The sequence below is a fragment of the Homo sapiens genome, chromosome 4, assembly GCF_000001405.40.
Source record: "Homo sapiens chromosome 4, GRCh38.p14 Primary Assembly".
NCBI classification, from domain to species: domain Eukaryota; kingdom Metazoa; phylum Chordata; class Mammalia; order Primates; family Hominidae; genus Homo; species Homo sapiens.
Window position 1 is genome coordinate 127,186,352 of NC_000004.12, and position 24,666 is coordinate 127,211,017.

Sequence of the window (24,666 nt, forward strand, 5' to 3'; positions counted from 1 at the left end):
AACAATAGATCATGATAAAAACCCTCAAAAAAACTGGGCAGAGAAGGAATGTATCTCAACGTAATAACAGCCCCACAGTTGTATCATACTGAATGAGGAAAAACTGAAAGCCTTTCCCCTAAGTTCTTGAATAAGAAAAGGCTGCCCACCTTCACCACTGTTATTCAGCATACTACTGGAAGTCCCAGCTAGAGCAATCAGACAAGTGAAATAAATAAAGGGCATCCAAACTGGAAAGGAAAAGGTGAAATTATTTTTGTTTTGAGATGATACAATCTTATATTTGGAAAAACCTAACGACTCCACCAAAATACTATGAAAACTGAAAAACAAATTCAGTAAAGTTGCAGGATACAAAGTCAACATACAAAAAGTGGTAGCATTTCTATATGATTTCTATTTGCCAACAGTGAACAATCTGAAAAAGAAATAAAAAAGTAATCCCATTATAGTAGCAACATATATACCTAGGAATTAACCAAAGAAATGAAAAATATCTACAATGAAAACATATATGACATATAAACATACAAAGCATTGATGAAATAAATTGAAGAGGACCAAAAAAAGGGAAAGATATTCCACGTTCATGGATTGGAAGAATTTATATTGTTAAAATATCAATACTACCTGAAGCAATCTATGGATTCAATGCAATCCCTATCAAAATTAAAATGACATTCTTCACAGAAATAGAAAAATCAATCCTAAAATGTATATGGAATCACAAAAGACCCAGAATAGCCAAAGCCATCCTGAGCAAAAAGAACAAAACTGGAGTAATCACATTACCTGACTTCAAATTATATTAAAGAGCTATAGTAATCAAAAAAGAATGGTACTAGCATAAAAACAGATACACAGAAAAATGGGGAAAAACAGAGAACTCAGAAACAAATCCATACATCTACAGTGAACTCATTTTTGACAAAGGTGCCAAGAGCATATATTGGGGAAAAGACAGTCTCTCCAATAAATGATGCTGGGAAAAGTGGATATCTATAGGAAGAAGAATGAATCTAAACCCCCTTTCTCTTGCCATTTACTAAAATAAAATCAAAACAGATTAAAGACTTAAATCTAATAATTCAAACTATGAAACTACTACATCAGGGAAACTCTCTAGGACATCAGTCTGGGCAAAGACGTCTTGAGTAAAACCTTACAAGCATAGGCAACCAAAGAAAAAATGGACAAATGGGATCACATAAAGTTAAAAGCTTCTTCACAGCAACAGAAACAATAGAAAAAGTGAAGTGACAACTCACAAAATGGAAGAAAGTATTTGCAAACTACCTTTCTGACAAAGGATTAATAACCAGAATATATAAGGAGCTCAAACAACTCTATAGGGAAAATTCTAATAATTTAATTTAAAAATGGGCAAAAGATCTGAATACACATTTCTCAAAAGAAGACATGCAAATGGCAAACAGGCATAAGAAAAAGTGCTCAATATCACTGATCACTAGAGAAATGCAAATCAAAACTACATTGAAATATCATCTAACCCCAGTTAAAATGGTCTTTATCCAAAAGACAGGCAACAACAAATGCTGAAGAGGATGTAGCAAAAAGGGAACCCTTGTACAGTGTTGGTGGGAATCAAAACTAGTATAACCACTGTGGATAACAGTTTGGAAATTCCCCAAAAATTGAAAAATAGAGCTATTATGTGATCCAACAACCCCACTCCTGGGTATATACCCAAAAGAAAGAGAACAGTTTGGAAGTTCCCCAAAAAATGAAAAATAGAGACATTATATGATCCAGCAACTCCACTCCTGGGTATATACCCAAAAGAAAGGAAATCAGAATATTGAAAAGACATTTGCACTCCCATGTTTGTTATAGCACTGTTCATAAGACCCATGATTTGGAAGCAACCTAAGCATCCATCAATAGATGAATGGATAAAGACAATGTGATACATATACACAATGGAGTGCTATTCAGCCATTAAAAAAGAATGAGATCCCATCATCTGCAACAACATGGATGAAACTGGAGGTCATTATGTTAAGTGAAATAAGCCAGGCACAGAAAGACAAATTTGATGTGTCCTCACTGATTTGTAGGAGCTAAAAATTAAAACAGTCAAACTCAAGGAGATAAAGACTAGAAGAATGATTACCAGAGGCTGGAAAGGGTAACTGGGGGGCTGAAGAAAAAGTGGGGATGGTTAATGGGCACAAAAAAAATAGTTAGAAAAAAACAGCAAGCCCTAGTATAGCAGAACAGGGTGACTACAGTCAATAATAATTTGATTGTATATTTTAAAATAACTAAAAGTATAATTGGATTGTTTGTAACACAAATGATAAATGCTTGAGTGGATGGTTACCCCATTTACCCTGATGTGGTTATTATGCATTACATGTCTGTATCCTCACATACTCTATAAATATATATACCTATTATAGACCCACAACAATTAAAAATTAAAAAAAATATATAAAGTGACTTGTGGTCAGTAGCTAACTCTACTTTGTAGAGAATATCTTTGCCACACGTGAATGCTTACCAAAGAGCATTAAATGCAGAGGAAGCTCTCACTAATTAGATACACAGATAATATGTTCTACATATGTCATTCAGCATCTCTACTCAACCATTCAAGTACTTGCTCAGAAGGCTACTGACTTTCTGTATCTACCTTGCCAACAACAGAAACAGTGTTGAGACCCCAAGATGGCACTATTCCCTAAGGAAACCAGTCAGCTACTGGATGTGAGGTTTATACATTAGACCCTTTCTATCAGGAAGAGTATGGTTTGTCCTCACAAGTAGACACAGATTCTGTATGTGGCTTTGCCTCCATAGTCTATAATACTTCTGCCAGCACTAATGTCATTAGATATATGGAATGCTTATTGATCATCATGGTACTCTACACATCATTGCTATTTACTGTGAACTAATTTTAACACCAAAGGAAGCATGAAAATGGGTTTATACTCAGGAATTCACAGGTCTTAATAGTTACCTAATTAACTGGAAGCATCTTGCCTGACAGAATGGCGGACTAGCAAACTGAAGCCTGAGTTATAGCACCAGTTGCCAGACAAAGCCCAGAAACAACTGGGTTCTGTCTTACAGAATGCAGTATATATTTGAGTCATTTTTTTCTCCCATAGTTAGAATACATGGGTCTGAGATTCAAGGGGAAGTCGTGAGAGTGACTCCTACTATTACACTAAAAGACTCACTTGAAAGTTGAGATTTCTATCAGTCATTTTGGGCTCCTCCTGCCACTAAACCGACAGGCAAAGATGTGGATTGCTCTACTGGCTAGGATGATAGATTCTGATATCAAGAGAATAGTAGATTGTTGCTACAAAAATGGGAAGAGGAAAGACAATTTTCAGAACCCAGAGGATTCTCTGGAACACCTGTTAGAAGTTCCACATCCAATAGTAAAAGTTAATGTAAAACTACAGTAGCAACAACAGCAAAGGCTGGGCCACTGAAAATTCAGACACTTCAGAAATGAAGATTGGGGTCACTCCACAAGGTAAAGAATATTGAACAGTATGTCGAAGCTAAAGAAGGATATATGGGTAGTGGAAGAAGGACATCATGAATACCAACTATGGCCTTGTGACCACCTACAGAAATTAGAATTGTACTATTATTTTTCCTTTCTTCCCCTTTCCTTTTATTCTTTTATATAAGAATTGTTGTGGCTGGTTAACTTTCAAGTTAGTTTTTTATTACAGATATTGAAATGGAACAATGACTAAACTTAAGGAGTAATTAACATCATGTAGGGATGGATAGCGTGGCTTCCCTGAGATGGATGCTGTAACCTTTGGGACATTGAGCCTTCTATTTGGAGACAGAGCAAGAGAGATGGAGAGAGAGAGAGAGAGAGAATGAATCTTCCTTTTTATGAAGGTTATTTGCACCTTGTTAAGCTAGGACTTAGGATGATTATTGTTGTTTATGGAAGTTCAAATATGCAGATGTGTATGGATGGTAAGTAGTCAATGGGTGAACTACAGCCAGTTGTTAAGCTCTGCACTTACACACTCTGGTTTGTAATGCTGGGGCTGGGACTCAGCAAACCGCATTTCTCCTTTGCCAGCTGCCTCTATATTAACTTCTACTAGTAGAGACACTAGATCAAGACCGGAAGACCAGAGAGGGAAAGAACTGACATGCTCCTTTCTCTTTGCTTGCTCTTTCTGATGTTATCACTCCAGGAACTGCCCTTCAGTCCTGGCAGTAGAACTTGGTTCCAGAAAGAGTTGGCTCTAGCCATTGTGATTCTCCCAGAATCTGCCTTATCACACCATCCTAAATGTACCAGCATCAGCTGGCAGCACCTTTCCATTAGCAGTCTGCGTCCCAGTTCCACAAGGCCCTTCCTTTGTTCTCCTGCAGTAGCAGCAGCAGCTGGGCACCCTTCTCTTCTCGATGTTTAGTTTCTGGTTCTGGGTTCCTGGGTTCTGAGATTCTAGCATCTGATAACACTCACTTCTTCCCTTGGTTCCCCCATCAAGAAGCATGGAGGCCACTTTTTGTGGTTATGACTTTTATGTTCCCTTAGTGTCTTCTTTCTGCCTTAGAATGTTCTCCCAACTCCTGTTGAACAATTGCATATATTTCGATCACTCTGCTAAAATAATTACCCTGGTTCTGTTTTCTGATCTTGATACATTAGAATATTATTTATATATCATACATAATATATGTATATATGTATATAATAAGAATCAAATACATTTTCTTTCCAAAGTGTATATGAAAGTACATGTTATAGAAGATGGTGCCATCCATCACAATTTTGAGTAAATTTGACAACTATGTGAAAACGAGAGATTTGTTTCGGATTTTTTTTTAAGTTTTCTCATCTAACTATTTGCCAGTTGCCCAGGCCAAAAATTTTTGAATAATCCTTTGCTGGTTTTGTTTGCTCATGTCACACATCTAACCAATAAGAAAATCCTGTTGAACACATGATTTGATATAGCTAGAATCCAATCACTTTCTATTCGCATCCATGGTCATTACCTCAATTATTACACTTGTTCTCAACCTTGCTTGCTCATTGAAAATCACTTGGGGAGATTTAAAATTATCGATGCTGGGTCCTGCCTATATGTATCTTTATGTAGATATATAGGTATTTCTATCTATGAGAGATATACATATTTAGAGATAGGGTCTCACTCTGTTGCCCATGCTGGAGTGCAGTGGTGCGATCATACCGCACTGCAACCTCGAAATTCTGGGCCATATAGTTTTATTTACTTGCTCTGGGTTTGAAATTCGTAATTTTTAGAAGTTCTTTAAGAGGAGCCAACGTTGCAAAGCACTGACTTGAAACAAAGCCACCATCTCTCTAACCTATAGCATTATAATATTCTACTACCTAGTTTCACTGCTTGGATCTTCTCTCTCCCTAACCCTACAGTCTACTCTGCAATGTAGCCAGAATGATATATATATATATATATATTTTTTTTTTTTTTTGAAATTTACATAATAGTCCAATGGCATCCCTTCACAGAGTAAAATATAACTGCTGACCATGGCCTACAGGCATTATATGATCTGACTCCAGTGACCATGTTCCCCTCTCTCCCTCTCAGCATCCATCAGCACTGGCCTCCATTTTCTTGAACACACCAGTCGTTCTTCAGCCTCAGGGACTTTGCATTTGTTCTTTTCAGTTATTCACATGACTCTTTTCTTATCTTTTTCAGGTTTCTGTTTTAATGTCACCTTTTTTCAGAGAGGACTTCCCTGAACACCCTACATACAACAGCTCTCCCAGTCTGTCACTGTTTTCTTTGCTGCTCTACTTTGCTTTCCCCAATAGGATGTAAATTCCATGAAGGTAGAAACAGTGCTGCATTCACCTCTGTATCCCTAGTGTCTAGAACAGTGCCCAATACAAAAGAGACGCTCAGTGAATACTTAATGAGGGCATCAGTAAATGAATTCTGCTTCAGTGTATCTGTTAGTGACAGACAGATGAACTAATCCACTCAAAATTTTTAATCCTTGCATTGCAAGGATTAAATGAAATGATTCATTTCTTTTTAATAATTCAACAAACAGGTATTCACACCCTCTTAGCTATCACCACTAAAACTCATTCTACAACAGTATTACCTATTTAATATGCACGAACTTGAGGAAATGAAAAACATAACTAACATTAAAACTTAAATTCCAGCAATGTAAAATTGAAATTAATTTTTCTAGATTCTGGGAGTTTAAAAACTCAACCTTCCTCTTTTTGGTGCTACTTTAAATCTGTAGCACTCTTTTATATCAAATGACGTTTTTTACCACTAGTATGAGAATTAGACACCCTTCTGAGGATCAACGAAATCCTCAAAGGCAGCCTGATGCAATGAAAAGATCACTGAACTTGTTCTTCTTGGCTCCACACTCCCTTATGAAGTGATCTGGGGCAAATCTCTGACCCAGTTGGGGTCTCAATTTCCTTATTGATCAAGGAAACGAATGAAGAAAGTATTTTCTAAGTCTGTTCCCCAACTCAAAGATCTTATGACTCTAAGAAAGATGAATTCATTTCCAAGTGCAACCCACAGTTAATTATCTCATGTTAATTTTTAAAAGAATAAAAAATAGGAATTACTCTGTCTCTGACCTTATATTTTTATCAATCCATATTTCTACATTTATTTATCTTTGAATACAAAATACTTGGAATAAGGAAAAATTGCAAAAAGAGTTTAAACTTCAAGTCCAGTGGTACGCTGGGCCTGCTTGCACCAGCTCATGAAAGCAGATCATTAAATTTTCAAGAATTTTGCATGCCTGTTATTAAATACAACTAATATTAAAAATTAAATTATATACTTACCATTAAACAGACTATATTAAAAAAATGAAACTCAAAGTTTGTCACTTTGTTATTATTTTGGAGTTTGCAATTTTCTATGCCCCTATTTTATCAATATGGTGAAATGGTTAGCCACTACACATCTTTTCCCAAATCCCCAAATCTGTGTTCAGTGACATGTGGGTAACTTGAAATCATTCATGCTATGGGAGTATTTGTGCTATGGAAATAGGCAAATGCTACATATCAAGGCCTTTTTTTTTCCCCTAGGAAGTCTATTGTTAAACATGTACATCACAGAGTCTCTTTACGTGCCTTGCTTTAGAGGTTAGAAATTAATGGACCATATGGGCCTGAATTTTTCAAACTCAAAGACAAAACATTCAGGTTTTTTTTTTAATTATGGGAAGCCTTTCCTAATCTTGCCAAATTGGTTATCAATCTGTCCCTATGAGGCAATGAAAGGAAACAGCATATCTAGCTGAGATTAGCTGATGGTACAACAACCAATCAGTGCTTTAAATCCAAAGGAAGAAAATCACTTCTATAATTTCTCCCAAGTAACTGCAAGAAAAAAAAAGATAATTGTTGAATCTGAAATGTTGTGGAGTATGGTTATGACTGCCATATTCCAAAATTCCAGACCAAGGCTAGACAATATTTCGTTTTCTATAAAGAGCTAGATGGCAAATATTTTGGGCTTTATGGTCCACACAATCTCTGTTGTACTCAACTGTGCCATTGTATCATGAAAGCAGTCATGGACAATATGTAAAAAATTAGGTGTAGCAGTGTTCCAATAACATTTTGTTTATAAGCCTAGCACGGTGGTATGTTCCTGTAGTTCCAACTGCTTAGAAAGCTAAGGCAGAAGGATCACTTAAGGCCAGGAGTTGGAGGATATAGTCTGCTATGATCGTGCCTGTGAATAGCCACTGCACTTCACTCTGAACAACATAGCAAGACCTCATCTCTAAAAAATAAATAAATGAGTAAATAAAATGAAAATTTTATTTACAAGGAACAGGAAGCGGGCCAAATTTGGCTCATGAGCTCTAGTTTGCTGACCACTGTCCTAAACAGTTCCTAGAACACTGTAGATTCTAAGCAAATATTTATTAAATGAACTTATAATAATTAGTTCAGGCTGCCATAACAAAATACCATAGATCAAGTGACTTAACAGAAATTTTTATTTTCTCACATTTCTGGAGACAAGGAGTCCAAGATCAAGTCTTCAGCCAATTTGATTACTGGTCAGGGCTCTCTTCCTGGCTGGCAGACAGCTAGCTTCTTGGTGTGTGGTCACATGGCCTTTCCTAAGTATGCATAGAAAGAGAAAGCTCTGGTGTCTCTTTTCTTCTTATAAGGGCACCAGCCCTATCAGATTATGCCCTACCCTTAGGACCTCATTTAATTTTTACCATCTCCCAACAGGCCTCTTCTTCAAATGCAATCTCATTGGGGGTTAGGGCTTCAGCATAAAATATACGAATAGGGGTGAGGGTGCCACAACTCATTCCATAGCAGAGTTGAATATTAGTATCAAGGAATCTGCCTTATTGTTTTTCACTCCTAACATATATTTGCGAAGCACTTCATAGTTTACAAAACTTTTTCCTGGGTCTTACCATACTTTGTATAATGTATACAAAAACTTGGACCATATAAAAGAGAAAGCTGTGGAAAACACTATAACAAAGGAATATCTCTCCACCCCATTCCTCTCACGGACTTAGTTTTTAAACATAAGCATGAATAGGATAAAGAACTGATTTATCTGATGAATTACTTTATCTGTCTGTCCCATGCAACCACTTCATTATGGTGTCTTAAACTTGTCAAAGATAAGCTTAATACATTGCAGCAAACTCATTCTTTGCTGACAGTGGGGTAAAATTTAGCTCCACAGGTCTTGCTATTGATAATTGTGGTATTCTTGTTAGATGCAGGTCCAAGAGATATCTAAACTTCTTTTCATCAGCATAAAACTCAAGTGAGCCTTTTTTCTTTTTTCTTTTTATTTATTATTATTATTATTTCAGCATCCTGCAAGAAACTTAAAATTCCATAGTTTTTCAAAGAGATCATCAGAAAGGTTTTCAAGTCGGGATTTTCTTTTTCTGAAAAATTTTAGTACAGATAGCCAGCTGGAAACTATTGATGGTTTCTCTGTATGCAAGTTAGGGAGGGAAAAAGCAGGGGCTTAAAGGAGAGGAATGTAGTATCAGGACCTCAACCTCCATATGTTTTTCCCCAAATGTAATTGTTTTACTATGCAGTAACATTTGCAAATGAATGTAAAATTGCCTACAAGACAGAATAGGTCAGAGAAGGCAATTTTATGGTTCTTTTTTCATTGGCATCTAAAGCAAGCTAAAACTCTTTATGACTTCATCCCAAATTTGTTCTCATAACGAGGTATTTTTTTATTTTATTTTGCTACCTTGGAAAATACATCTTAAGACAATTGATGTTGCAATATTCCATCCATTGCAAATTATTGCTAGATCAAGCAATACTTCTGTCAACCTAAACACCAGATAAGACGAATTACACATAAGAGTTTTGAAATGTATACTTTGAAGAAGACTCAAAAAAGATCGTAACTTCAATTATTACTCTCCTGCTAAAGAAAACTGATGCATTTTTTTTGTTTGGTTTGTTTTTTACCTTCTAAATCATTTTCAAATGCTATAGCCATGAAGGATCACAACAAGGCTTGCTGAAACCTCTACATCAGATAAAATGGAAATACATGAAAGATTGAAGATGGTGGGACAAGAATTTTGGAAACCGGGCTGTGGGGCTAACCTCAGGAAAGACAGCCAGAAGTCCAAATAAAAGTGATCAGTGTATCATAGCAAATTGGGTCAATCTAAGTCAACATCTTTATTCATTAGGATCTAGTCTTTATTATGAAGATCTAGTCTTGCAATTGGGTTGTGAAAACAAGAATTTCCAACAGCGGCAAAACTCTGGGTTAGGTGAATGGGTAGTGGTATTTTAATTCCAAGTTATCCTCTCAGTTTCCAAAAAGAAACAACAAGCTTCCATCACCAGGGGGACATGGGGAGTTGGGAATCAGGTCTGAGGCAAAGAACTTTCAAGGTAAGGTTTCAATCTTAACAATTAAGGCCTTTATTTCACCAATTAAGATGCTTATTTTATTTGCTAAAAAAATTTCCTAACTTTTCAGTTCACAGTGAGGTCACTTTGACATTTAAAAATTTGTTCTTGGAGAAGGATTTAAGATGGCTGACTAGATGCAGCTGGGATGCACCTCTTTCACTGAGAGGATCCAAAATATCAAGTAAATCTCCACACTTCAAACAAATCTTTTGAGAAAAAACACCAAAATTTAATACAGAGGTGACAGAAAACATGGTGATTGAAGAGGGAAGAAGTGGGGCTGCCTGCTTCATGTTGCCAGTGCTGGGAATAACTCCTAAACCCAGACTAGACCCAAGTCAGGGGTGAGTAAAGGAACCCCCAGGCACCACATTACCACTGTGGACCTCTGAGATCTTAGCTACAGGAGTCCCCACGATCCCCTCAGATCTTTGGACTGGCAGGGGCAGCTGCTGGGAGAACACACGGGCACTGCTTGAACTCTAATGGAGCCCAAAAGGCTTCAGTGCACTGGGCAGCTGCCTGAAAATGCGACTCTGGGCACCCATCCCAGCAAAGGCTCTGTGTCCTTCCCTAAGTGTTCCTGTTCTCTGTCTGGCACGATAGAGCTGCCCCAGACATGTTCATGCCTCTAAGACAGACCGCACTGCCATTGTCACAGGAACAAAGTGCATCTGAGCCACAAACCCCCATGCCTGCCATTCCCTCCCAAGACTGCCTGTCTGATCATTCCACAGGAGGTCCACAGCATAATCTCCATTGCCCTGACCTGAGCGATTTGTTGGTGGATTGAGAGCAGTTCACCCCCAACTCTGGCTCCATCACAGCTGGTGCTTGACCTCAAGGGGTCAGGGGAAATATCTGCTGGCCTGTCCCACTTCCCCAGAGCCGGAGCTGAGCAGGACCCACAGCTGCCTGCTTTGCTGAAAACCCCAGGCAGATCCTTCCCCTGAGCAGATTCTGGCAAAGAAGAGGCACCTCCACCCTGCCCTGAAGGCTTGTCCCAAAAGCCTGAGAACTGGGACCCCAGACCCTCATGAAGGTCAATGCATACACTCCCCCTCCAGAGCCTGATTAAGGACTGGACTGACTCAGCACCACCCAGCTTTGTCCCATCCATCCCTCTTACACTTGAATGACTTTTGGGTAGACAATGAAATTAAGGTAGAAATCAAATATTTTTTGAAACAAATGAAAATAAAGACATAACATATCCTAACCTCTGGGATACAGCAAAAGCACTGCTACGAGGAAAGTTTATAGCATTAAATGCCTAAATAAAAAATATAGAAATTTATAATATAAATTAAAAAGATAGAAACTTAATGTCATACCTCAGAGGACTAGGAAAGCAAGAATAAACCAAACCCAAGGATAGCAGAAGAAAAGAAATAAAAAAATCAGAGCAGAACTAAATAAGTTTGAGACCAATAAAATGATACAAAGGATCAACAAAAATTGGTTCTTTGAAAGGATAAACAAAATTGATAGACTGCTAGCCAGTATAACCAGGAAAAAAGAGAAGATTCAAACAAGCACAATCATAAATGATAAAGATGACATTATAAATGATACCACAGAAATACAAAAGATAAGGAGAGATTACTGTGAACGTCTCCATGTGCACAAACTAGAAAACCTAGAGGAAACGGATAAATTCCTGGAACATACAATGTCCCAAGATTGAACGAGGAGGAAACAGAAATCCTGAACAGACCAAGGATGAGTAATAAAACTAAATTAGAAATAAAAAATTTTCAAAGCAAAATGCCTGGGACCAGATAGATTCACAGCCAAATTTTACCATATGTACAAAGAAGAGCTGATACCCATCTTACTGAAAATATTCCACAAACCTAGGAGGAGGGACTCCTCCTTAACCCATTCAATGAAGCCAGCATCACCTTGATACCAAAATCAGGCAAGGAAACAACAAAAATGGAAAACTACAAGTCAATATTGCTGATGAACATAGATGCAAAAATCCTCAACAAAATTCTATCAAACTGTATCCAACAGCACATCAACAAAATAATTTGTCATATTCAAGTGGCTTTTATCCCAGGAATGCAAAGATGATTCAACATTTGCAAATCAATAAATGCAATTCCCCACATGAACAGAGTTAAAAACAAAAACCATATGATCATTTCAATAGACCTAGAAAAAGCATTTGATGAGACCCAACATGGTTTCACGATAAAAACCCTCCACAAACTGAGCATTGAAGTAACACCTCAAAATAATAAGAACCATTTATGACAAACCCACAGCTAACATCATACTGAATGGGCAATAACTGGAAGCATTCTCCTCGAGAACTGAAACAAGACAAGAATGCCCACTCTTACCACTCTTATTCATTGTGGTCCTGGAATTTCTAGCCAGAGTAATCAGACAAGAGAAAGAAATACAAAATCCAAATGGAAAAAGCGGAAGTCAAATTATCTCTTTTTACTGATAACATGATCTTACACATAAAAAACCCTAAAGATTCCTCCAAAAGACTCCTAGACCTGATAAACAACTTCGGTGAAGTTTCAGGATACAAAATCAATTTATAAAAAGTAGCATTTCTATACACCAACAATGTTAAAGCTGAGAACCAAACCAAGAACTTAATATCATTTACAATAACCACACACACAAAAAAAAATCTAGAAATACATTTAGTCAAGCAGTGAAAAATCTCCACAAGGAGAACTACAAAACATTGATGAAAGAAATCATACCTGACACAAACAAATGGGAAAACATTTCATGCTCATGAATTGGAAGAATCAATGCCATTAAAATGAACTTACCGCCAAAAGCAATCTATAAATTCAGTGCAATTCCTATCAAAAAGTACCAATGTCATTCTTCACTGAATTATAAAAAGCAATCCTAGAATTTGTATGGAACCACAGAACTGCTGAATAGCCAAAGCAATCCTTAACACAAAGAACAAAACCAGAGGCACAACACTACCTGAATTTTTTTAGCATTAAATGCCTAAATGAAAAAGATAGAAATTTATGTGAGTGCATTGACTATATAGGATGGAAAGGGGCGAAGTAGAAAAAGAAATTATAATCTGTTCTTTAAAAAAATTTATAACATTTTTTGAGGATAAAATATCCAGAGGTTTTTTTTTTTTTTCAGTTGGAAGAAATTACCTGACTTCAAATTATACCACAAGGCTATAGTAACTAAAACAGCATGGTACTGGCATAAAAAGAGACACATAGATTAATGGAATAGAATAGAGAACCTAGAAATAAAGCCACACCTGTACAACCAGCTGATCTTTGGCAAAGTTGTCAAAAATAAACAATGGCGAAAGAACACCCTATTCAATAAGTGGTGCTGGGAAGATTGGCTAGCCATATGCTGTAAAATGAAACGGGCTTTTATCTCTCACCATCTAAACAATTAACTCAAGGTGAATTAAAGACCTAAATATAAGACCTGAAATGACTGAAGTCTTAAAGAAAAGCCCAGGAGAAACTCTTCTGGATATTGGCCTAGGTAAAGAATTTATGACTAAGACCCCAAATGCAAATGCAACAAAACAACAATACATAAATGATACTTATTAAACTAAAAATTTTCTGCACAGCAAAACTAATATTCAACAGAGTAAACAGACAACCTACAGAATGGGAGAAAATGTTTGGAAATTATATGTCAGGCAAAGGATTAATATCCAGAATCTACAAGGAACTCAAACAGCTCAACAAGACAAAAATAAAATAAAACCATTACAAAATGGGCAAAAGACAGGAATAGACATTTCTCAGAAGAAGACTTACAAGCAACCAACAAACAAAAATGTGCAACATCACTAATCATCAGAGAAATGCAAATGAAATTCACCTTGAGGTATCATCTTAAACCTCAGAAGGGGTATTATTAAAAGGTCAAAAAACAACATGTGTTAGAGTGTATGTGGAGAAAAGGAAATAATTATAAAACGTTGGAGGAAATGTAAATTGTTATGACATCTATGGAAAAGAGTATGGAGATTTCTCAAAGAACTTAAAATAGAACTACCACTTGACCCTGCTACACCACTACTGGGCATCTACCCAAAGCAAAAGAAATTATTATATTAAATAAAGATAGCTGCACTAGTATGTTTACTGCAGCACTATTAACAACAGCAAGTCATGGATGCCACCGGAGTGTCCCTCAAAGGTTGACTGGATAAAGAAAACTCTTCACCCCAAATCAACAGAATATACATTCTTTTCAGCACCACACCACACCTATTCCAAAATTGACCACATAGTTGGAAGTAAAGCACTCCCCAGCAAATGTAAAAGAACAGAAATTATAACAAACTGTCTCTCAGATCACAGTGCAATCAAACTAGAACTCAGGATTAAGAAACTCACTCAAAACTGCTCAACTACATGGAAACTGAACAACCTGCTCCTGAATGACTACTGGGTACATAACGAAATGAAGGCAGAAATAAAGATGTTCTTTGAAACCAACGAGAACAAAAACACAATAAACCAGAATCTCTGGGACACATTCAAAGCAGTGTGTAGAGGGAAATTTATAGCACTAAACATCCACAGGAGAAAGCAGGAAAGATCTAAAATTGACACCCTAACATCACAATTAAAGGAAATAGAGAAGCAAGAGCAAACACATTCAAAAGCTAGCAGAAGGCAAGAAATAACTAAGAGCAGAACTGAAGGAGATAGAGACACAAAAAACCCTTCAAAAAATCAATGAATTCAGGAGCTGGTTTTTTGAAAAGATCAACAAAATTGATAGACTGCTAGCAAGACTAATAAAGAAGAAAAAAGAGAAGAATCAAATAGATGCAATAAAAAATAATAAAGGGGATATCACCACCGATCCCACAGAAATACAAACTATCATCAGAGAATACTATAAACACGTCTATGCAAATAAACTAGAAAATCTAGAAGAAATGGATAAATTCCTCGACACATACACCCTCCCAAGACTAGACCAAGAAGAAGTTGAATCTCTGAATAGACCAATAACAGGCTCTGAAGTTGAGGCAATAATTAATAGCTTACCAACCAAAAAAAGTCCAGGACCAGACGGATTCACAGCCAGATTCTACCAGAGGTACAAGGAGGAGCTGGTACCATTCCTTCTGAAACTATTCCAATCAATAGAAAAAGAGGGAATCCTCCCTAACTCATTTTATGAGGCCAGCATCATCCTCATACCAAAGCCGGGCAGAGACACAACAAAAAAAGAGAATTTTAGACCAATACCCCTGATGAACATCGATGCAAAAATCCTCAATAAAATACTGGCAAACTGAATCCAGCAGCATATCAAAAAGCTTATCCACAATGATCAAGTAGGCTTCATCCCTGGGATGCAAGGCTGGTTCAACATACACAAATCAATGAACATAATCCAGCATATAAATAGAACCAAAGACAAAAACCACATGATTATCTCAATAGATGCAGAAAAGGCCTTTGACAAAATTCAGCAGCCCTTCATGCTAAAAACTCTCAATTAATTAGGTATTGATGGGACGTATCTCAAAATAATAAGAGCTATTTATGACAAACCCACAGCCAATATCATACTGAATGGGCAGAAACTGGAAGCATTCCCTTTGAAAACTGGCACAAGACAGGGATGCCCTCTCTCACCACTCCTATTCAACATGGTGTTGGAAGTTCTGGCCAAGGCAATCAGGCAGGAGAAGGAAATAAAGGGTATTCAATTAGGAAAAGAGGAAGTCAAATTGTCCGTGTTTGCAGACGACATGATTGTATATCTAGAAAACCCCATCGTCTCAGCCCAAAATCTTAAGCTGATAAGCAACTTCAGCAAAGTCTCAGGATACAAAATCAATGTGCAAAAATCACAAGCATTCTTATACACCAATAACAGACCAACAGAGAGCCAAATCATGAGTGAACTCCCATTCATAAAATTTTCAACACTGTATTAATGAGAAGAAATATCCCAAGATCTTTTAAAAAATTATTCTTTAGCTATACTCAACTTGTGTATAGTACTTTTCAGCTTTCAAAGGACTTGCACATACATAATTTATTCTTCATAGCATACCTGAAATAGAAATGTAACAGATATTTTCACGCTCACTTTATCAAGAAAAGACCAAATTGTGTCACAAAAGCCCAGAGACCATGCAAGTCTCTCCAGTCCTTCTCCAGTGTGCTGTATCAGGATGCCTTTAAGGAAGCAGGTAATGTAAATCTTCTCCTTCCTGATCTTGTCCATATGTATGTGAGAGAATGTGAATGGACGCAACACACTGTCTTGGCTGTAGACTGGTCCTTGTCATCACCCAGTTCCTCCTGTGAAATCTTATATGTCGATATTCTACTCATAACAAAATCTGTCATTCTTTCTGTTGTTTCACTCCTACTAAATTCACTTGAACTTTACTGAGATCCCAGTTCCTTGTATTCTTCATTTTGACTTTCTCAGGATCATTTATCCGTCCTTGTTTTATTCCTCCTTTGCCTTGATTCTCATTTTCTACCAAATTTCCTCAGCTAGTCCTCAATACACAATAGCCTTCATTTCCACTGTCATCAATCTATCCTTTGGTGCCAGCCATGTCCCTTAATTTTTTTGTTAAAAAGGAGCAAATTTATTCCAACTTAAAAAAAAAACTCTGGATATTTCATCCTCAAAAAATGTTATAAATTTGTTTAAAGAACAGATTGTAATTTCTTTTTCTACTTTCCATCCTATATAGTCAATCCACTCACATAAATTTCTAGTGTCTGCAATGTAATAGGTCATAGAGTAATCAATAAAGTAAAATGCGTTCATTTAAAAACTGTTTACTTCAGCTTTACTTTGTCAAGACCCATCTGTAATGTGAAACATGACCTTTTTATAGACTTCTGTTATATATATAATGTTTTGGCAAGGAAGCCTTGCAAGAAAAAATATTACTTCCATCTTTAATTTGGTCGTTTATAAATATACTCTCTATTATTCCGGTTACACATGAAATTATTATATTTTCAAAGAAACGTTGATGGAATAGAAACATATGCATTAATCAGGCATTTTTTGAAGATAGTTTGTATTCTATTACAATTCACAAAAATAAAACATGTTTTATAACCAGAGCATTTTTCTCATGGTTCAATTTTTAACAAGAAAGTCAGCCTTTAATGGGCATATATAGGAGTATATGTATGTGAATATGTGTACACATGTTTACTTATAAACCTAAAAAAATTAGCCCTTTCTTCAAGGTTTTGTGATCCTTCCACTCAAGTCACCAATGTACTGATTATACACTGAATGGCTGTGAGCAGTTTCAAGATTCAGACTTTACTTTTCCATGTCAAAAATGTCTATGTCTCTTACATGCTTGAATTCTGAGTTCATTCAGACATGGTCTAGCTTCTATCAAGCTGTAGGCCAAAGACCTGAGAAAACTGCATGACTGTTTCAGGAATGTTTTCATAGTTACTCATCCAGTTTAAGACAGAGAGAAAAGGAGGGCATGTCAGGGTGTTCCATGGGGATATTATCTGTATGTTCAAGCATGGATATATTATGTGGGAATGGGGCATTTACATTTAATTATGGAGCAGTTGTTCAAATGGGAAAAATGCTTATTTTAATGTACATAGATTATGCAGTCATGTCCTTGTCCTCAAATGCAAAACATCTCTTTCTTGCTCTCTGTGGTATTTTGGAATTTCACCCTGTTTTAATGCAAAAACAATGTTTAACTGCCAATATACATGCACGGGAAAGGCTTTCAGGCGCCAGGCATTTCCCAGGAGGGAATCCCTACACAGTAAATTGCATCATTTATTCTTATTGTGGTGATGTTGGGGTATCGAAACCATACCAAACCAGCCATGATGTGGGCTGCTGACACAGGAAGGTGCAGAATCCCAGTGCAGTGAACTTCTAAAAGTAAGTTGCTATTCCAATTAAGCATAGCACTACAGATCTATTACTAGTTATCAACTCACTGGGATACATAGAATACATGTTTCTAATGAAAAGATTGTGGGAAGAGGGCAGTTTTTTTTTAACAATCAAATATTCACAAGGGATAATATTTGTCTCCTTCTTTTTAATTGACATATAGTCAACTCTGTATTATTCTGAGGCTGATTATCCAATTGTGGACTCTACCAGCAACTGATTTCCCCTCATTTTCTCTCTGGCTCATGGCCTTTTGGACAGCATATTGCTCATTAGCAACCCCACCCAAAGCTGAGCAGGAGAAATAGTCTGCTGGAACAGAAATCAGCCGATTCTGCTCCTTGTTGGTAGTTCACGAAGAGGATGTGGAAACCGTTCATTAAACTGAGGCTTTTGGACTAGGAGTAGATGTCAATTATTCATGTATCTCTGGCTTCCAATACCATGGATAATTGAGAGCTGGCCACACTACCAGACACTTATGCCACAACAATCTGTTAATTTGTTGTTTAGGTTTATTTCTACTCTTTCCACTCCTTTAGACTATAATACTATTTCCTAAATCCCAGATTTTATGATCATCAAGTCTGGATCCTTCCTGAAAATATTTCAAAGGTAGTAGTCATCTCCCTCAGCCACTGAAGTAGCAACAAAATACTAGATACCAATCCATTCTACACTTGTGCTGTTGGTAAATAAACAAATAAATAAAATCCTTGAGTCTATATTTAGGGTGGCTTCTATGTGTCATTTACTTTCTTCACATAGAACACATTGAGTTATAGAGTCTGAGGAAGAGAGAAAAAATGTAAACTTGTCAGATATTTAAAATTTAATAGACTATAACCACTCTGATTTTGATGTGGCTGTTTTGAGACTATTAAGTTGGATTATTTTTCGTCTTTGTTATATATGAGAAATATTGGGTTTTAATTTTAATTTTAAACATGAGGAATTCAAAGTAAGTGAGACGAAACTGAAACCTTATCTGTAGGCCAGGCTGGAGTTTGATATATACATATATTAGACCATTATGCTTCATCATGATTTTTTAATTAAGGAGAATAAAAGAGATTTGAGAGGAATTTAGAGTGGTATATAAAGAGAGCAAAAGTTCAACTGAGGAAAAAAAGAAAAGGGAAAGAAAATATGTTTCTATGAACATGAAAGACATGGATCTAAAAATCTACTATAGTTGCTAAGAGTAACTAGTAATGAACTGACACTATAAGGTTAGCAAGTCAGATGCAACCTGGCCAGCAACATCTGTTTCATCCTTATAACACTGACTAAAAAGAAAAAACACCTAAGAATTAAAACAAAGAGTATAATTATTATTTATCATTCATTCAACAGCTATCAATTTTAAATCTAAACACTAGAACTAAAGAAGAATGCTCTCCCTGCTTGCAAAGAGCTCCAGAGAAATAATTTTTAAAATGAGATGTAGGTAACATGGAAATACATACCATATATACATACAATTTTTGAGTTAGAAGATGACAACTAGAGATCATCAAAACTCTCCCAAGAGATTTCAATTATTCCTTCTAAAATTACTGGTGGCAACTCTTGATGAAATAAAATCTACTTTTTATCTGTTTTATACCCATTACAACTTAACCACTAAAGAGTCTTATTAAAAAATGAATTTCTTTTAAAATCCTCAAGTCTTCACTATAACCAGGGTAAACAGCTGACTTCCAAGATGATTAACTTTAAGTTCATTCAATTCCTTTCAATAATGTTTTACTGAGCATTTACCTATACAAATTAAATTCCTTAACTAAAGTACTCCCTCTCAAATCAAAGTGGTTATGGTTCTAAAAACTCCGATTGGAGAATTTACAGGATAGGAGGAACTGAAAAGTGGCAGAACATGCCACTCCAAAATATACCTCTTTGGCATAAGGGAAGGCCATTAAGAAGAAGCAGATAAAAGGAAATCTCTCTGCCCTCCCTCATTTGCCTAAAAAGGGGATATAAAAGTGTCCTTCCTCACTCTCTATAAGGAAAGACAGACGTTAACCATAAGAAAAACCCTATCCCCTTATCAGCCCAGAGAAGGCACGAGAGAAATCCACATAACAAATTTTACCAACCAGCCCTTACCCACCATTAGTTTCCACATATATTTGCCTTCCCACAATCCACCCCTGGATGCTCAAAGTCCTTTTCCTTTGCCTTGTCATTTCTTTATGAATTTACTGTTCATTGTTAAGATGTTCTACAAATCCATGTTCTAAACACTCCTTTGAGTTACTCATCACTGAATACTCCCACGTGCATGCAAAATGCCCTTGTTAATAAACTTGTATCTGTTTTGTTAATCCATTTTTTGTCAGTAAATGAGCCTACGATGGATAGAAGAAAAAGAAAGATTTTCCTCCCGTGCAGAAATTAAGACATTGTGGAAAAATTAAATCAGGAAGATACAGTCACAACAGAACCTATGAAGACACTGTTGTGTCTTCTAAAGATATCACGGTTCTCCCATTCTTGGCAAGATTTGGAGCATCTTTATTCCCTGCTGACCCACATGTTTACAATTTCAAAATAAAATATTTATTAGTTTAAGAACTTAACAATATTTATGTAGAGTACACTTTTACTAAATAGCACATATTTTTACTATTGGCTATGAAACACCATGTGGGAAGGCAGTAAATACAGGCTGATGAAAATGGTAGCCCCTGCCCACCTGTGCTTATCAAGCAATTGAAATTAGGCTATTTCAAACTGAAATATGCTTTAAGTATAAAATACACATGGTTTTTAAATATTTAGTATAAAAATACAAAAGATCTCAATAAATTTTCATTTATTACACATTAAAATGATATTTTTATATATTCAGTTAAATAAAACATATTTTAAAAATTAATTTTACTTATTTTTTTAAATTTTAAGTTCCAGGGTACATGTGCAGAACATACAGGTTTTTTAAATAGGTATATATGTGTCATGCTAGTTTGCTGAACCTATCAAACCATTATCTAGGTTTAAGCCCCAAAATCATTATGTATTTGTCCTAATGTTCTCCCTCCCCTTGCCCCCACCCCTTGATAGGCCTCAGTGTGTGTTGTTCCCCTCCCTGTGTCCATCTGTTCTCAATGTTCAACTCCAACTTATGAGTGGAACATGTGGTGTTTGGTTTTCTGCTCCTGCGTTAGTTTGATGGGGATGATGGCTTCCAGCTTCATCCATGTTCCTGCAAAGGACATGATCTCATTCATTTTTATGGCTGCATAGTATTCCATGGTGTATATGTGCCACATTTTCTTTATCCAGTCTAACATTGATGGACATTTGGGAAGGTTCCATGTCTTTGCTATTGTGAATAGTGCCACAATAAACATACGTGTGCATGTGTCTTTATAGTAGAATCATTTATAATATTCGGGTATATACCCAGTAATGGGATTTCTGGGTCAAATGGCATTTCTGGTTTTAGATCCTTGAGGAATCACCACACTGTCTTCCACAATGGTTGAACTGATTTACATTCCCACCAACAGTGTAAAAGTGTTTCTATTTCTCCACAGCATCAAAAGCATCTATTGTTTCCTGACTTTTCAATAATTGCCATTCTGACTGGCTTGAGATGGTATCTCATTGTGGTTTTGATTTGCATTTCTGTAATGACCAGTGCTGACAAGCCTTTTTTTCATATGTGTGTTGGCCGCACAAACGTCTTCTTTTGAGAAATGCCTGTTTATATCCTTTGCCCACTTTTTGATGGGGTTCTTTGTTTTTTTTTCTTGTAAATTTGTTTAAATTCCTTGTAGATTCCAGACATTAGACCTTTGTCAGATGGGTAGATTGCAAAAATTTTCTCCCATTCTCTAGGTTGCCTGTTCACTCTGATGATAGTTTCTTTTGCCATGCAGAAGCTCTGTAGTTTAATTAGATCCTATTTGTCAATTTTGGCTATTGCTGCAATTGCTTTTGGTGTTTTAGTCATGAAGTCCTTGCCCATGCTTATGTCCTGAATGGTATTGCCTAGGTTTTCTTCTAGGGTTTTTATGGTTTGGGGTTATACATTTAGGTCTTTAATCTATCTTGAGTGAATCTTTGTATAAGATGTAAGGAAGGGGTCCAGTTTCTGTTTTCTGCATATAGCTACCCAGTTTTCACAGCACCATTTATTCAATAGGGAATCCTGTCCCCATTGCTTGTTTTTGTCAACTTTGTCAAAGATCAGATGGTTATAGATGTGTAGTGTTATTTCTGAGGTCTCTGTTCTGTTCCATTGGTCTATATATCTGTTTTGGTACCAGTACCATGCTGCTTTGGTTACTGTAGCCTTGTAGTATAGTTTGAAGTCAGGTAGCGTGATGCCTCCAGCTTTGTTCTATTTGCTTAGGATTGTCTTGGCTATATGGGCTCTCTTTTGGTTCCATATGAAATTTAAAGTAGTTTTTTCTATTTCTATGAAGACTGTCAATGGTAGCTTGATGAGAATAGCATTGAATCTATAAATTACTTTGGGTAGTATGGCTATTTTCATGATATTGATTCTTCCTATCCATGAGGATGGAATGTTTTTCCATTTGTTTGTGTCCTCTCTTATTTCCTTGAGCAGTGGTTTGTAGTTCTCCTTGAAGAGGTCCTTCACGTCCCTTATAAGTTTTATTCCTAGGTATTTTATTTTCTTTGTAGCAATTGTGAATGGGAGTTCATTCATGATTTGGTTGCTTGTCTATTGTTGGTGTATAGGAATGCTTGTGATTTTTGCACATTGATTTTGTATTCTGAGACTGCTGAATTTGCTTATCAGCTTAAAGAGATTTGGGGCTGAGAAGATGGGGTTTTCTAAATATACTATCATGTCATCTGCAAACAGAGACAATTTGACTTCTTCTTTTCTTATTTGAATACATTTTATTTATTTCTCTTGCCTGATTGCCCTGGCCAGAACTTCCAATACTATGTTGAACATCAGTGGTGAGAGAAGGCATCCTGGTCCCTTGCCGGTTTTCAAAGGGAATGCTTCCAGCTTTTGCCCATTCAGTGTGATACTGGCTATGGGTTTGTCTTAAATAGCTCTTGTTATTTTGAGATATGGTCCATCAAGACCTAGTTTATTGAGAGTTTTTAACATGAAGAGATGATGAATTTTATTGAAGGCATTTTCTGCATCTATTGAAATAATCATGTGGTTTATGTCATTAGTTGTCTTTATGTGATGGATTACACCTATTGATTTGCATATGTTGAACCAGCCTTGCATCCCAGGGATTAAGCTGACTTGATTGTGGTGGGTAAGCTTTCTGATGTGCTGTTGGATTCAGTTTCGAGTATTTTCCCCTAGTTCCTGTGGATGCGTATTAGCTAGATAGAGCAGTTTTTTTCTTGAGTAATTCTTTTTATCTCATAGCAGAGTAATACTTCCCTACTCCGCCCATGTTGAATCTTGACTCTTATTATTAATCTAAGCAATGAGGAGAGGCAGGGGGCCTCTTGTGAATGACAACAAGCATCCTGCAAAATATCTACATTATGTCCTCTGTAAGTGGTTTCTAGGCAATGAAAGGCTATTATCTTCTAACATGGGGGAGAGAGCATAATTTCCTCTAGCCCAGAGGCATAAAAGAATCTAAGTCATCAAATTCTCAAGTCCTTGGCCATGCAAATGTGCTTATCTCAGATCTCAAGATTCTATTCCTTATAGGAGAGTTTCCAGAGCTATGAGTTCAACTTCCTTTGTAACTTCTCCATCCTTATCATCAAGTGTTGGGCCTGGTTCTTAGCACAGTCTGTTGTCTGGCTCCTGGAGAAGTGGTTCCTAAAGACTGTCTGAAGAACTTCTGGCTCTCACACCACCTCTGAAGGCACTATTTGGCTGACAAGAACCTGTTATTTTCTTCCTCCTCCAGGACTTCTATGACCATTAATGATAGCCATCCAACTAGACAGTTTTTATGAATAGAATTGGTCCTACATATTTCAAGTATAGAGTTATTGCATGAACCACTACATATCCTTTCCACTTGCATCTCACCCCAATCCACCAGAGGGAACAGTGTTAGTATTTGTGATATTACAACTTTTCAAGAGGTCTTACCAGCTCACATCCTCAGAAATGAATTTCTTTGCCTCTAGTTGCTAGGTTAGTGATCTAATCCGGGGTCTGCTTCCTAGTACTCCATTTCTAGTACAAACTGTCTAATTTAGATTCTTCCAGGGTCAACCCTGAGATAAGGATTTGAATGTATGTAATTAATGTGAGAGATGATCCTAAAATGACCATTTGGGGATATAAACTAAGACACTCATCTTTGTGCGATGACTATAGATGAGTCTAGATGGTCTGGGCCTTATTTTCTCTGCTAACCCAACACTGCCTTCGGGACTGGACATAGTGCTGAATAGGCAGACCACACACATGCTTAGGACATGGCAAGGTAGGGACACACAAAAACAAAGTTCATCCTCAATAATTTTATCAGAAAAAAAATGTAAAGAAAATCTCTTTTATTTTCAGTAATCATGTAAATTCTGTGCTATATGCTGCCGTAAATTGTTTATTATACACTGCTGTTTTATTTTTAAATAACTTGGGTGTGGGAAGCACAAATATTTTCAGTGCTTTAGGTATCTAAAAACATCTTAACCTCAGACACCCACTGCTGACATATTCTGCCTACTCATTGAAGCCAGAAAATCAGATCCTACCCTGCTGGGCTCCTGGCTAGTCTTTTCATTAACAATTTTAGCACCAGCATTGAGTCAACTCTAACCTGACTTCAAGCAAGCTCTCCTCTGAATATCATAGCTGGTTTCCT

General features: G+C 36.6%; 1 long non-coding RNA gene across 3 annotated transcripts in view, besides 1 other annotated feature; it reads right to left on the reverse strand.

The window, feature by feature from the left end:
- Positions 1 to 24,666, reverse strand: part of LOC102724210 (uncharacterized) — a 396,780-nt gene that overhangs the window by 112,576 nt on the left and 259,538 nt on the right. For 2 of the 3 annotated variants that reach the window (XR_001741824.3, XR_001741825.2), the window contains one exon: positions 8,028 to 8,142. The exons of the other annotated variant lie outside the window; for it this stretch is intronic. This is a non-coding gene — a long non-coding RNA (uncharacterized LOC102724210). The remainder of the gene's footprint in view (positions 1 to 8,027; positions 8,143 to 24,666) is intronic. 3 annotated transcript variants of the gene reach the window in all.
- Positions 7,411 to 7,580: an enhancer, noted in NCBI's record as "experimental_73373 CRE fragment used in MPRA reporter constructs". NCBI's record gives its function as "activates a minimal promoter by MPRAs in K562 erythroleukemia cells, with activity observed for both the introgressed and non-introgressed 4:128115002 variant alleles {active_cell/tissue: K562}" and the evidence as "EXISTENCE:reporter gene assay evidence [ECO:0000049][PMID:34662402]".